This window comes from Homo sapiens, chromosome 3, assembly GCF_000001405.40.
Source record: "Homo sapiens chromosome 3, GRCh38.p14 Primary Assembly".
NCBI classification, from domain to species: Eukaryota; Metazoa; Chordata; class Mammalia; order Primates; family Hominidae; genus Homo; species Homo sapiens.
In genome coordinates, this window is record NC_000003.12 from 52,850,695 (window position 1) to 52,866,546 (window position 15,852).

The 15,852-nt window shown below is 47.6% G+C and overlaps 2 protein-coding genes across 2 annotated transcripts in view; both read right to left on the minus strand.

The window, feature by feature from the left end:
• Nucleotides 1-15,852, minus strand: part of STIMATE-MUSTN1 (STIMATE-MUSTN1 readthrough) — a 64,428-nt gene that overhangs the window by 17,574 nt on the left and 31,002 nt on the right. The window contains exons 2-3 of the mRNA NM_001198974.3: nt 4,702-4,750; nt 1,909-2,004 (exon numbers count right to left, since the gene is read on the minus strand). Of these exons, the coding sequence (NP_001185903.2) occupies nt 1,909-2,004; nt 4,702-4,750 (145 nt within the window). The remainder of the gene's footprint in view (nt 1-1,908; nt 2,005-4,701; nt 4,751-15,852) is intronic.
• STIMATE (STIM activating enhancer) overlaps nt 1-15,852 on the minus strand; it is a 60,816-nt gene that overhangs the window by 13,962 nt on the left and 31,002 nt on the right. Inside the window, exons 2-3 of the mRNA NM_198563.5 lie at nt 4,702-4,750; nt 1,909-2,004 (exon numbers count right to left, since the gene is read on the minus strand). Coding sequence (NP_940965.1) covers nt 1,909-2,004; nt 4,702-4,750 — 145 coding nt within the window. The remainder of the gene's footprint in view (nt 1-1,908; nt 2,005-4,701; nt 4,751-15,852) is intronic.

The window sequence follows — 15,852 nt, forward strand, 5'->3', positions numbered from 1 at the left end:
CCCCATCTGCAGTCAAGCATAAGTAATATTTTTACACTGTTTTTTTCTTTTTTTGAGATGGAGTCTCCCTCTATTGCCCATGCTGGAGTGCAGCGGTGCAATCAGCTCACTGCAGCTTCCGCCTCCTGGGTTCAAGTGATTCTCCTGCCTCAGCCTCCCAAGTAGCTGGGATTACAGGCACCCACCACCACACACAGCTAATTTTTGTATTTTTAGTAGAGACAGGGTTTCATCATGTTGGCCAGGCTGATCTTGAACTCCCGGCCTCAAGGGATATGCCCACCCTGGCCTCCCAAAGTGTTGGGATTACAGGCCTGAGCCACCGTGCCCGGCCTACACTTTAAAGAGCGAGCTTTACTCCCCATGGGAAAAGGCAAGATAACTGGGGGAGTGAGAGGAGGAGGCTCTGAAGGGCATACCACATGAACTGTGTTCTTGTACGGTCTGTTTCCATCCGACACAAAATTTTTTCTCTCACCAAAGAAAGGCCCTTTTCCACTCACCCTCTCTTGAGGGCCTTGTACCCAGATCCAGCTGAGCACTGCTGACCACAAGCTCCAGCTCTCCATGGTAGACAGAGTGGGAGACAAGGGCACTGGGTCCAGTACTGACCCTCTACGATACCATGTGGCTCTGAAATCCTTGCAGGTAAGCTGCAGGACACCACACACTCCAGGTGTGGTGAGCTTTCCAGTTGCTGAGGCTTGAGACATTTTGTGTAGTCTCACAGCCTCCTATCCTGGGCTGGAGCTTTGGTGATGTGCACACAGCACTCTGATGCCAGAGGGCGCAGCCTGTGCTAGGGTAGGTCAGCAGGAAAACCAGTGAAAAGAGGGAGGGGGCATTTCTCCTGCCTGCCCTTCCTCTGTAAAATCACAAGGGGTCACTCTTAGACCAGAGATGGCAGGAGCAGCAACTGCTTCCAAGGCAATTTCCCTCTGGCCTGAGGCTATGCTGCTCTCAGATACTTTGTGTCCAAAGCATCTCACGCCTGCGAGAACAAGGACATGTGATGTACATACAGACCTTACTTTCATTCATTCACTTAGCAAACATTTACAAGCCTACTGTGTGCCATGCCTTGGGAATAAAGAGAGAAAGTTCTATGTTCCATCCTCAACACAGATGATTCTGACAGACAGCAAAGCATCATGTGGGCCCTGGAAGCCAGACTGGCTGGGCTCCATGACTCCTGAGCGGTGTGAACTTACAGTATATATAACCTCTCTGTGCCTCAGTTCCACCACTGTAAAATGGGGATGATCAAAGTCTCCATTAATATATGGCAGGCTGCTATGAGGACAAAGGGAGGCAGAAGATGGGGCCAGGATGAGGTAGGCAAGCCTCCTCTGCCACTCCACCTGCTAAGAGAAGCACTATGTGGGTGCCATCAGCAAGGAGGACAGAATATCATGGCCGGATTGAGGTCACAGATGGATTGCTCTGGGGGCTGCATGGAAGGCACATTGCAATGATAAGGTGGAAGAGGTCAATGAGGGTCAACAACAGTTTTGACCCTGAATGGCTGACGCCACAGAGAAGCCCTGGTGTGTCCTGGTTCCAGAGCAGAGACACTCCTGTAGGGCATTATCCTTCCTTGCCAGGGGCGGCTTGGAAACTGGGAGACATAAGGACACTAGAAAATCAAAGGACAGAACTTGGATTGATGAACAGAAAGCCAGTGCATGGGGAAAGTGTCAACACGCAAAGCCCTACAAGCCAACTGATAGCTGTGTAAGTGAGCTCCAGGACAGCATGTACAGGATGGTCTCTCAGAGGAGCACAGAGGAAAAGGGGAGCACCCTCTCCCCAAGCCAGAGGGAGCAGGACCAGCAGCAGAAAGCAAGGCCAGCCTATATTTTCAATGGAGGGGCAGCTGATGTTTGCACTCAAATAGGGAACACTTACAGTGAACAAGGGTCCTCTTCAGTGAGATCTGCTAGGTATACATTTGCAAAGTGGATGAACAGCATTCCTATGGCTTGTTTGGAAGTGTCTAAAAACCTGTACAAAATAAACCAGCACTGGTTATTAGCCTGACAGGAGCGCAATATCCAATTTGAGGAAAACGAGAAGACTGAAACAGGAAGAAAGCCACCCCAACCTTCCAATCACTGGTTATCTCTTCCTGGGGCCTTGAGCACTAACTCAGGCTTGGCATCTCAGCCACCTTTCAAAGCCTTCAATAACACTGCCTTTGAAAACCCTAAAAGGTCAAGGATTGATATTTAAAATACGTTTTAAATTTTTTTCTTACTTCAAAATAAAATGCTCAATCGCTGCTTTGTGATGAAGCCCAAGGTGCCTCTATTTTAAAGAGCTCCCATTCAACTTCACTCACAATGAGCTAAATTATGTGTGAAATTAACAAGACGTGCACAAATCCAGTACTGCAGCTGGATCCCTAAAGAAATTTCAGCTGCTGCCATTTAAACAATGGGCTAGATCAGGGTAGGCAAATTTTTTCTGTAAAGGACCAAAGAATAAATATTTGAGGTTTTGTGCGCCATATGATCTCTGTCTCAATTCCTCAGCCCTGCCGCTAGAGAATGATGCAGTCATAGACACAGCTATTCCAATCATACACACCGGGCCTGAGGGCTGTAGTGTGCCAGCCCCTGGACTAGATGGTAAGCATTTCAAAAAAGAAAAAACAAGGGTGTTAATCTCTGAGAGGAGCTAACCCCGACCCATGTGACAGGAGCATGGTGGAGACAGCGTGTGCCTTCAGTATGTCCTCCACCACCAGCACCAGGTAGCCATTCTCCTCTGTGGTCGAGGCACCTCTTGGTCATGGCTGTCTCTCACAGCCGCCCAGCTGGGCAGGGTCTCAGGACTGCAGAGATTATCCAGACCAACCCAGCGACGGTGGCTGGAAAATCATTCCCTAGACTCACTGCAAAGGAGGAGTTACCAAAGGACAACGTATGTAAGACTCAAGAGAGCCCCAAAGCTAGGTCTCCCACCAGGTCCTGCCCCAGCCCTGAGGTGGGAGTCACACATTCTAAAGTTAACAGGGTTTGAGAAAAATCAACGGGGGGAAAATAAAAAGAATTATCAAATTCGCCAGCAACACGTTTAAGAACAAGTACACGCTTAATAATTTTATCACAGTGATTACTGACGTTTCCTCTGAAGGATAAAATGGCTATTTTGTTAGGAAATGTAGAAGCCCAAGGCAGCCTAAAACAGGCAGCTTCTTGTGGACACAGTGCTGTCTTGAAGAGCTGACTGTATCCTTCCAAGTGATGTATTATTTTGGAGTTTTGTCTTTAGAACCTACTTCTGAAGCTTTACCACCATTTCACGAAGGAAAAATTGTGACTGCAGGATCATAATCTGTGAAATAAATATATGCTTGATGTATATATCAAAGTCTATTTAAGAAATATATGTATTTGGTCTCTGTCCTGGTTTCTGACACAGAGCTCCTAAAACACTTGTAATCTCCTGAGTAACACAGGTGCTAAGAGGAGTTTTTGTTCTAGTATTTGGTCTCTGGCCTTGGTCCTGATACGAGCACCTAAACCTCATGGAATTTCCCGGAAGACAGGAGCCTTTTGCTCTAATGAAGGAAGTCTTAGTGGGCTCCTAGATAGCTTCAGGATGGGGCTAGTCACCAAAAGGACCAAGTCATGATCAGAAACTTAGAACTTTCAGCCCTAATCCCCCACCCTCCAGGGAGAAGGGAGGGGCTGGAGACTGAGTTAACAATCAATCATGCCTACATGATGAACCCTCCATAAAAATCCCTAAACAATGGGATTTGGAGCGCTTCCGGGCTGGTGAACACATCCATGTGCTGGGAAGGGGGCACACCCCAACTCCTGTGCTCAGGACACTTCTGGACCTCGCCCTATGCACCTCTTCATCTAGCGTTCATCTGTGTCCTTTATAATAAATCAGTAAATGTAAGTAAATGTTTCCCTGAGTTTTATGAGCCGTTCTAGCAAATTACTGAACCTTAGCGGGGAAGTGGGGGTTGTGGGAACCCCTGACTTTATAGCAAAGTTGGACAGAAATGTGGATACCCTGAGGACCCCACTACTTGCAACTGGCATGAAGAAGGGGGCAGTTTGTGGGACTGAGCCCTTAACCTGTGGATTCTGTTCTAACTCCAGGTAGTTAAGTGTCAGAAGTGAATTAAATTATGGGACACCCAAGTGGTATTTGCAGAGTTGGAAAGCTGGTTGATGCTGGGGGAAGAAAACCCTCATATATTTGGTGTCAGAAGTATTTTGAGTAGAGAAATAGTTTTCCTTTATGCTAGGACCAAGAAAGACTCGTTTGGAGAGAGGAGCGTTTATATGCTATGTTTGATCTCCAAATTTAGGCTAGTTTTTGCTTGCACATACAGAACACAGAATCCAGGAATTTAAACCAAATCTAACAACAGGTAGACATAGATGAAGGAGCCAGCATCGGGGACTGATGTATTTGTGTATCTTCCATCTTCTAGAAGTGGAAGCAGAGTGATTCTAAAATAAAGGTAGGATCAAAAGTTACCTGGAGAAACAAAAATGCTTTCATAATATACACAGTTCCTAATGAATTTAATTCAGGGATTCCACATACATTATATTATGTATCATTTCTCACATTCCATGCCCTCCCCACTCCAACACCATACCCCACCCCCAGCCCCAAGACCCCCAACATAGTCAAAAGCACTCCAGAATGAACTAATACCTAAACACATACCATATCCTCCACGGACGTCTTTCATGCTTTGGTTCTCTGAAGCGTTTGACTGAAAGAAAAGACAGACATCAGTAGTTTTCCAAAGAAGTTACATAAAGCAAGATGCACATAACAAGCTGGGTTATCAGTCTACTCACTGTGTGTATAACCAAGGTAATACACACACTCTTTTAACATGTAACAACATACAGTAAGCCCTGCGAAGGTCACTGAGGTCCTGTGTTGCCGATGATTGGTATGGACTCTTTAGAACTGGACACTTAGGGAGAAGGACTCCTCATAGCATGTGGAAAACTGTATTTTTCCCTTTGTGACACACAAGGCTCACTCAGATAAGGATTGGTAATGACAAAGCGGAACGCAGCTGCTTCTAACTTCAGGATGTGCTCTATCCAAGGACAAATCCATCATCAACTCAAACGTTTACTGAGTGCCTACTCCAACCCAGGCACTAAGGATACAAAGGTAAAACCAGTTGTCTTGCAACCAGGGGGCTAGACACGTACATATCACATACGGTGTGACACGTGCTAGAGAAGAGTGAAGTCTGTCGCAGAACGATGGCACAAGGGAAGGATGGCCAACCCCACAGTGGGGACCGAAGTGTTTGTGTATCTTCCATCTTCCAGTGAAGAAGAGACTTTACTGATGGGGGACGGTCAAGCCAAGCCCTGAAGGCTGGGTAAGAATTTGGCAAATGGATCAGGGAGGGGAGAAAAGATACATTCTGGGAAATATCACAAGCCAACAGGTACAGGGACAAAGCATGGCAGAGTGTGTCTGGCCTCATTTAATTTGGCTTTAACACAATAGGTAACAAGAGAACCTCCTGGAGGAGCGGCAGGTAGCAGGGTGACAAATTGAGCAGGGGCCAAATGAGGGAGGGTCTTGAATGCTGGGCCAAGGAAACTAGAATGAATCCTGCAGGAAACGAAAAGCCAGGGAAGAGTTCTAAGCAAAGTCAAAGACATGTTGGGACTAAGTTTTAGAAAGGCAGCTCTATGGCCGGGTGTGGTGGCTCATGCCTGTAATCCCAGCACTTTGCAAAGCTGAGGCGTGAGGATTGCTTGAGCCCGGGAGTTCGAGACCAGCCTGGGTAACAGAGTGAGACCACGTCTCTACAAAATATTTTTTAAAAAGTAGCTGTGTGTGGTGGCGCACACCTCTGGTTCTAGCTACTCTGGAAGCTGAGGTGGGAGGGTCACTTGAGCCCAGGAGGTTGAGGCTGCAGTGAGCCAAGACTGCACCATTGCACTCCTGTCTGGGCAACAGAGCGAGACTCTACCTCAAAAAAAAGAAAAGAAAAGAAAAGAAAAGCTCTGTTAATTGAGCAGACAGTGGATGTCTGGGCACTCATTCAGCAACAACCTGATTGGTCTTGGATAGCAAAGAACTTGCCCGATTTACGTCTGAACCTTGGGTCTGTAGACACGATGGCCTGAACAAGAGGAAATGAAAAGTTTTGAAGCTACGTATCCTCCACTGAGGTGCTAGGCAAGTACTTCCACAATGATTCTATCTACTAAAACAAACACTGAAAGTGCTGCCTGTGTGATACTTTCCCACAGAAAAGTACCAAGGAAGAAACAGATGCTGTTGCAAGCCCACAGAAGATGCCTTGTTACTCCTGGTGGTGGGCAAGAACCAACTTCTGGCAGAGTCCTGAGCTGCCAGCGAGGGTGCAGGAGGAGAAGGGAGACAGGGAAGGAGAAAATGGTAGCCAAGACAGTAAACCCTACTCTCTGAACAAACAAAGGCAGTCTGCATTTGCCAGGCAAGGACTGCCTATACAAAGAATTGCAGTTACAAGTCTGTTTAGAGAGACATGTTGAGAGAGAGAGATCAACGAGCAGGTGAAGTTGTGAGGAGGTCTGTCATCTCTTTGACACATCACAGATCCCAAACCTCAACAACGCCAGAGAATATGGAGTTGAGGCCAAGAGGTTCTGCTTGCCTGAACAGCTCTTGGAAGCAGGAGGCCCCTTCCCTTAAGCATGCCAGGTCTCACTTGGGGGCTGGAACTCAGGAAGGAGACATGAGAAAACTAGGCCAGGACAAAACTGTTTGGAGGGAACGCCCCCAGTCAGGGCCAGAGCCACTGCATGCTCATTTCTCCTTCTGCTTCAGGGGAATCTGTCCCCATCACTGTAAAATAAAGGACATCAAATATATCTTGAGGGGCATGTCCTTGTTCCTAGGCGATGCATGCTGAAGTAACAGAGTGGCTGCAATTTACTTCTGAGTGGTTTGGGGGAATATATTATACATTATAATTATGTATAATAAATGTATTACATTATAAATGGTTTTATAATTATAAGTAATACAACAAATTATATAATAAATCTTATAATTATATTATTATTATATATAGAGAGAGAGAGAGAAAGAGAAGCAAATGTGGTGTTATAGGCTGAATTGTGCCCCCACCTCCAAAGTCATCTGTTGAAGTCCAAACCCACAGCACCTCAGAGCGAGACTATTTGGAGACCAGGCCTTTGAAGGGGTAATTAAGGTTTAATGAGAGCTTTTTGGCGGGCCCTAATCCAATGACTGGAATCCTTATAAGAGGAGGAGATTAGGACACAGATGTGTGAGTGCAGCAAGAAAAGACCATGCAAGAACACTGAGAAGAGCGTCATCTGCAAGCCAAGGAGAGAGGCCTTGGAGGAAATCCAACCTGCTGACACCTTCATTGCGGTCTTCCAGCTTCCAGAAACTGTGAGAAAATAAGTGTCTATTGTTTAAGCCACCCAGTCTGTGATATTTGGTTATGGCAGCCTGAGCAAACGAAAACATGTAGCATGACAATACTGGTGAACCTAGATGAAAGATATTTGGCTATTCATTACACTATTATTTAGGCTTTTCTGTAAGTTTAATATTTTTTGAAATAAAAAGTTTGAGGAAAAACATCCCAGAAGAATGAACTAGTGTAACCATTCAAAGGTCAACATGGGCTGGGTGCAGTGGCTCACACCTGTAATCCAAACTTAAGGAGTGGATTGCTTGAGCCCAGGAGTTTGAGACCAGCCCGGGCAACACCGTGAGACTCCATCCTTACAAAAAACAAACAAAATAAGCTAAGTGTCTTGACGCATGGCTGTGGTCCTAGCTACTCGGGGAGGCTGAGTTGGGAGGATTGGTTGAGCCCAGGAGGTTGAGGCTGCAGTGAGCTATCGCATCACTGCATTCCAGCCTGGGAAAGACTGTCTCAAAAAAATTTAAAGAAACAAAAAACAAAGGTCAACTTGGCAATATCTATCAAAATTTTAAATGCCCATACTCCTTTAATCTGCAATGAATGCACTGCCAGATACATGCTATACAAGTATTATTGCAGGTGTGTCAGGATGTATAGGAATATTCACTGCAATACTGTCGTAACTGAAACTGATGCCTGTCGGTATGGGGTTAGGTCCATATGACACAGTACATACGTTCAATACAATACTAAGCAGTTGCTAAAAACGACAAGGTAGGCCAGGCGTGGTGGCTCACACCTGTAATCCCAGCACTTAGGGAGGCCGAGGTGGGCAGATCACCTGAGGTCAGGAGTTCAAGACCAGCCTGGTCAACAAGGCAAAACCCCATCTCTACTAAAAATACAAAAAAACTTAGCTGGGTGTGGTGGCGCGTGCCTGTAATCCCAGCTATTTGGGAGGCAGAGGCAGGAGAATCACTTGAACCTGGGAGGTGGAGGTTGCAGTGAGCCAAGATTGCACCACTGCACTCCAGCCTGGGCGACAAGAGCGAGACTCCATCTCAAAAAAAATAAAATAAATAAAATAAAATAAAATAAAATAAAAAACAATGAGGTAGATCTATATGGGCTAATATAGAAGATTTTCAAATTATATTAATAAATTCTAGAATAATATGCCTACCATGATTCTGTTCATGTCCACTTTGAATGGATATACATTTATGCTGGTATTATGTATTATTTTTTCCTAGAAGAATACATAAGTGACTATTAACAAAGGCTATGCTGGGTGTGATGGCTCAAACCTGTAATCCCAGCACTTTGGGAGGCCAAGGCATGAAGATCGCCTGAGGCCAGGAGTTTGAGACCAGCCTGAGCAACAAAGCAAGACCCATTTCTCCAAAAAAAAAAAAAAAAAAAAAAAAAAAAATTTTTTTTTTTTTTTTTTTTTTGCTGGGCATGATGGTATGTACCCGTAGTCCCAGCTACTTGGGAGACTGAGGCGGGAAGGGATTATTTAAGTTTAAGAGTGCCACTGTACTCTACCCTGGGGAACAAAGTGAAACCCTGATTCAAAAAAAAAAGAGAGAAAAAAAGAAAAAAATCCAAGGGCTACTTTTGATTAAAGGAATTATGGATCAAGGAATTCACATTGCTTTTATTTCAGAATTTACGAAAGAAAAGACAAACCTATCTCAGAGATTTGAGCCAATGTAGCAAAGTGGGATGTGGGAGAATCAGCGTGACCTACAGCTGGGCTTCAGACAAGGAATGGAGGAGAATGGTGTGCCCGTGCCTGTGGGTGCCCTGAGACAGCCACATATAGGAGCACCTTTGATCAAGTTCAGAATGGAATCAAATTCTTCTGAATCAGAGCAGAAGTGTGGGGCTGTGGGGCTCCTGCCTCCTTCCTCTCCACCTCCTATCCCCTTTCCCTAGAACAGTCCAGATTCTTTTTTTTTTTTTTTTTAAAGGAAGAGGAAATACTAAGAGAGCTTCTCCCAGTCAAATTTGGTAAAGGGGGTAAAAAAAAAAAAACAGAAAAATTCATTCATCTACCATCATATGTTATTGAGGGGCCTGCTGTGTGACAAGCCCCATTCAGCAGGAGATGAAATGCACAAAACCCTTGCCTTCATCACACCCTAGTAGGGAGAGGAATAACATATGGAGCATGGCAGACAGTGCCAAGCATGGAGGTAAACACAGAGGCAGGTGAAGAGAGAAGAGGGCTGGCACGTGGGGTCTGAACTGTCAATGAGGAGGTATGAAGGAGAGCCCACGCCCGAGGAAGGTGCAGGCCAAGTCACGAGGGTCTCGGGAAGAGCCGTCCAGGCAGAGGGCTGGAGGACAGCAGGCAGAACAGCAGGGCGTGCGGGAGAGGCAGCTGGACCTCCACCGAGAACCCAGGCTAAGAGCTCCACGTGGGCCTGTGTGTGGTGGCCAGGCAGCTGTAGCCACAGCCCAGCAGGCTCCCTCCAGCTGCTGTGCTGAGAGCAGCCCACAGGGATGGTATGGCAGCAGGGAGCCCACTAGAGACAACCACCCACTCCCATTCACCCCCCGCAGTAACTAGGACCACATGCTGGCACTGACCGGGGCAATAGGAGAGGGGAGAAGAGGTCAGATTCCGGTTGGGTCTTAAATGTTGAGCTGAAGGCTCTGCTGACAGTGGACGTGGGGTGTGGAAGAAAGGATGGCTGGGGCTGACTCGGGAGGTGGGAGTTTACACTGTTCCACGTGGTGGCGGGGGTACTTATCTCCAGGCAACAAACAAGGAGGGGTCTCTGTGTACCTCACAGACAGTAAGCCAGGCACCCTGTCCCACGGAAACAGTTGTGCCCTGCGTGGGCCTGGCAGCTGCTCCTGCAGAAGCCACACCATGCTCAGAGTGGCTCAGGCAGGGTCCTAGGACCACAGACCTTTCTTCATTAGTGGTGCTTTGCAGGATGGAGGGGACTTGCTCAGATGGAGCCAGAGCCAGGAAAGCATAAGCCACCCTTTCTAACACATCCTCATCCCCACACACCCCTGAGGCGGAGGCTGATGGAGGGTAGCAGCCACACCTCAAGTGCAGGTCAGGTTCCCGAACACAGAGCTGGAAGCCAAGGCTGATGGAGTGATTCCTGCAAGAGCCCTACTGAACAGAGAGAGGGGAGAAGGGGAAGGTGGAGACTGAGGCCTGCAGCACTCAGCGGCACTGCCTCTGCACACAGGTCCCATTCCATTGCTTCTGTGATGAGATGCACCAATTGTCCCCAAGCCACAGCAGGCTCCTAAGCAGACTCGCGGCCTTTTGTGTACAGGTGTCCTGAAGACAGGCATGGGTCTCATCAGCCCTGAAAAGGAGGAGTGGTCAACAGCCTGGGCACAGTCAGACAGATGTGGCTTTGAATCCTGTCTCTGCTACTATCTAGCTATGTGACTTTTGTATATCACAAAAAAGAGGAAGGTGGGGGGCTGCTATGACCGGCTAGGCACGTTGTCTCCAGGATTAAATGAGAAGACAGATGGAAATGTCAGTGATGAACATGTGCTCAGGAGAGCATGCCTCACTGTGGAGTCCCCACCCTGCACCCTGTCTTCCCTTTCCTCTGTGTGTCCGTTTTCCCCACTCCCGGGGCTGAGCCATCCCTGTCCTGGTTTCTGTGAAGCGTGAGACCTTGGGTCTGCCAGCTGCAACCCTCCATACCAATCCCTCCTTTGGCCATCCAGGCAGCAAAGGGGCCCAATCCTAGGAGGCTTCTATGATTCTCCAATCCTGCTCACCTCCCTGCCATCCTCTCAATGCTCTGAATGTTCTCCTCTATCTCCCGTGGTTCTGTCCTCCCTACACAGCCTCCCCTTCTTCCTCTTGACTCCTGGGGAGAAGTTCCCCTCTCAGGGCTCCTATGCCGAGGGCTTGCCAGCCTCTCCCTCCAGCCCTGGCCTCCCAGTGATGCTCCAACTGCAGGCTGGCCCAGTCTGCTGGGTCCCTCATAGCCAAGTTGTCTCCTGCCCACTCTGCTAGTCCTGCCCAGCTCTGCCATTTCTGCATAGAATGGAAGTGTCCTCACCCTGGGGCTCCTTACTCTCCTCCTTCCTTCCCACTCAGCTGTCAATCTCCCCTGCCAAGTTGTAACTGAAAAGTCTTCTGCATATGCCCCTTTCCCCATTTCTACTGGCAAGCTAACCCAGCCCCTCAGGACTGCTTTCCTGTGCTGATGAGACTGCCTCCTAACAGGCTTCCCTGCTCCGATCTCTTCAACTGCCTTTCCTATCCACCCACCCATCCACTCCACCAGCACTGAGCACTTACTCTGTGCTGGGGATACAGTAATGGACAATACAGACATGGTCCTTGCCCTCAAGGGGCTTTCAGTCTAGTTATGCTGTGTACCATCTAACTTGCCTAAAAACTTGCCTCATCTTAGAATCAAAGTACATCTTTTGGAAAAGGTGAATATATGGAGAGTATATAAAATTCAAAGAGTATATTATTTTAGTAGTGTTGTATGGTATTTTTTTCAATCTCTCTTCTTTCAATTTTATATTTAAGTGTAAGAAGCATATAGGTGAGTTTTCCCCTCAAAATCTAGTTGGCAATGATAATGGCTGAATGGTGGTGTCCTACGTGGTATGTCCCACAACCCCTGATACCTGCAAATGCAGCCTTATTTGGAGAAAAGGTCTTGGCAGATGTAATTAAAGATCATGAGATGAGATCATTCTGGACTAATCTGGTGGGCTCTAAATCCCATTACAAGTATCCTTATGAGAGATGGAGGAGAGATGGAGGAATAGAGACAGAAGGGGAAGAGAAGAAGGACCTGTGAAGATGGAAGCAGAGAATGGAGTTATGCAGCCACATGCCAAGGAATCCTGGAGCCACCAGAAGCTGAAAGAGGCAAAAAAGGGTCCTCTCCCAGAGCTGCTGGAGGGAGTGTGGCCGCTGCCCACACCTTGACTCTGGACTTGGGGCCTCAGAACAGTGAGAAAACATTTCTGCTGTTTTAGGCCAAGAAGTTTGTGATTATTTGTTATGGCATCTCTAGCAAACTAATAAAGATTCTTTTCTCTTTTTCTTTCAATGAAATTCAGAGTACATGTATTAGTCCGCTGCTGATAAAGACATACCCGAGACTGGGAAGAAAAAGAGGTTTAATTGGACTTACAGTTCCACATGGCTGGGGAGGCCTCAGAATCATGGCGGGAGGCAAAAGGCACTTCTTACATGGTGGTGGCAAGAGAAAATGAGGAAGATGAAAAAATGGAAACCTCTGATAAAATCATCAGATCTTGTGAGACTTATTCACTACCACAGGAACAGTATGGGGGAAACCACCCCCATGATTCAAATTATCTCCCACCAGGTCCCTCCCGCAACATGTGGGAATTATGGGAGTACAATTCAAGGTGAGATTTGGGTGGGGACACAGAGCCAAACCACATCATTCTGCCACTGGCCCTTCAAATCTCATGTCCTCACATTTCAAAATCAATTATGCCATCTTAACAGTCCCCCAAAAGTCTTAACTCATTTCAACATTAACCTAAAAGTCGACAGTCCAAAGTCTCATCTGAGACAAGGCAAGTTGCTTCCACCTATGAGCCTGTAAAATCAAAAGCAAGCTAGTTACTTCCTAGATACAACAGGAGTACAGGTATTGGGTAAATACAGCCACTCCAAATGGGAGAAATTGGCCAAAACAAAGTGGTTACAGGGCCCATGCAAGTCCGAAATCCAGCTGGGCAGTCAAATTTTAAAGCTCCAAAATGATCTCCTTTGATTCTAGGTCTCACATCCAGGTCATGCTGATTCAAGAGGTAGGTTCCCACAGTCTTGGGCAGCTCCACCCCTGTGGCTTTGCAGGGTACAGCCTCCCTCCCGGCTGCTTTGATGCGCTGGCGTTGAGTGTCTGCAGGTTTTCCAGGCTAACAGCGCAAGCTGTTGGTGGATCTACCATTCTGGGGTCTAGAGGACAGTGGCCCTCTTCTCACAGCTCCACTAGGCGGTACCCCAGTGGGGACTCCGTGTGGGGGCTCCGACCTCACATCTCCCTTCCACATTGCCCTAGCAGAGATTCTCCATGAGAGCCCCACCCCTGCAGCAAACTTCTGCCTGGGCATCCAGATATTTCCATACATGTTCTGAAATCTAGGCGGAGGTTCCCAAACTCCAATTCTTGACTTCTGTGCACTCGCAGGCTCAACATTATGTGGAAGCTGCCACAGTTTGGAGCCTGCACCCTCTGAAGCCACAGCCTGAGCTCTACATTGACCCCTTTCAGCCATGGCTGGAGCGGCTGGGATGCACGGCACCAAGTTCCTAGGCTGCATATAGCACAGGGACCTGACCCACGAAACCATTTTCTCCTAGGCCTGTGATGGGAGGTGCTGCTGTGAAGACCTCTGACATGCCCTGGAGACATTTTCCCCATGATCTTGGGGATTAAATTTGGCTCCTTGTTACTTATGCAAATTTCTGCAGCCAGCTTTTATTTCTCAGAAAATGGGTTTTTCTTTTCTATCACACTGTCAGGCTGCAAATTTTCCAAACTTTGATTATGCTCTGCTTCCCTTACAAGACTGAATGCCTTTAACAGCACCCAAGTCACCTCTTGAATGCCTTGCTGCTTAGAAATTTCTTCCTCCAGATACCCTAAATCATGTCTCTCAAGTTCAAAGTTCCACAGATCTCTAGGGCAGGGGCAAAGTGCCACCAGTCTCTTTGCTAAAACATAACAAGAATCACCTTTGCTCCAGTTCCCAACAAGTTCCTCATCTCCATCTGAGACCACCTCAGCCTGGACCTTGTCTACATCACTATCAGCATTTTGGGCAAAGGCACTCAACAAGTCTCTCTCTTTTCTTTTTTTTTTTTGAGATGGAGTCTTGCTCTGTCACCTAGGCTGGAGTGTAGTGGCGTGATCTCGGCTCACTGCAACCTCTGCCTCCCGGGTTCAAGCAATTCTCTTGCCTCAGCCTCCTGAGTAGCTGGGACTACAGGCGCCTGCCACCATGCCCAGCTAATTTTTGTATTTTTAGTAGAGATGGGGTTTCACTATCTTGGCCAGGCTGGTCTTGAACTCCTGACCTTGTGATCCACCCGCCTTGGCCTCCCAAAGTGCTGGGATTACAAGCGTGAGCCACGGTGCCCGACTGCCATTCAACAAGTCTCTAGAGAGTTCCAAACTTTCCCACATTTTCCTTTCTTCTGCACCCTCCAAACTGTTCCAACTTCTGCCTGATACCCAGTTTCAAAGTTGCTTCCACATTTTTGGGTATCTTTTCAGCAATGCCCCACTCTACTGGTACCAATTTACAGTATGATAAAGATGCATCCAAGACTGGGAAGAAAAAGATTTAATTGGACTTATAGTTCCACATGGCTGGGGAGGCCTCAGAATCATGGTGGGAGGCAAAAGGCACTTTTTATATGGCGGCGGCAAGAAAACATGAGGAAAATGCAAAAGCAGAAACCCCTGATAAACCCATCAGATCTCATGAGACTTATTCACTACCACAAGAACAATGTGGGGGAAACTGCCCCCATGATTCAAATTGTCTCCTATCAGGTCCCCCCACCCCAACGTGGGAATTATGGGAGTACAATTCAAGGTGAGATTTGGGTGGGGACACAGAGCCAAACCATTATCAGTACAAAATATATTCAGTGAAAAGTCTCCCTTCTGGCTGACATCCCAGTCCCTCTGTTTCCCTTCTCAGGGCCAACTACTGTCCCCAAGACCTTACATATCCTTTCAAAGACATGCTGGACAACCACACAGATGCACAGATCTGTGTGTGTGTGTGTAGGGGCGGTGGGGGGACACAAACCGTCACATGCTTTACACGTTGTCTAACCTTCCTGCTCTCACCTACTGTACACATGGCTCCATTTTCTTTCATTAGAGGCTACATGGCATCCCACAGTGTGGCTGTGCCATCTCATTTACTCTATGAGCTGCTGCCGCGAATGTCCCTGCCATGTGCTACCTCTGCCTGTGTGGGCCCATATCTGAGGGGCAGATTCCTAGAGGCACACTTGCTACATCAAAAGCTATGTGCGGCTTATTCTGTGGCGCCGCTCTCCACAGAGGCTGTGCCAACTCACACTCCCACTAATAGCACGAGTACCCATTCCCACATTCTTGCCAGCATGGTGTACTAGCAAACCTTCTCACTCTGACAATTTGATCGCTGAAGAGGCTGTCTCAGCACGGCTGCGGCGTGCACCCATCAGGCCACTTGGGTGCCAGGGCACCTGCGGGGCTTGCCACCGTCTACCGCCTTGAGGGGCCTGGCAGGGCTCCCAGTCCCACCCCATCTCACCTGCTCTCTCCTCTCGGACATGAGCCCAGAGCCCCTCCTTTTCCCCATGCTCACGCCCTCCCCTGAGGATACCAGGGTGTGGTGGTGCTCACTCTCCCAGAAGTTTGGGCAGTGCTACTGGTGCCACACAA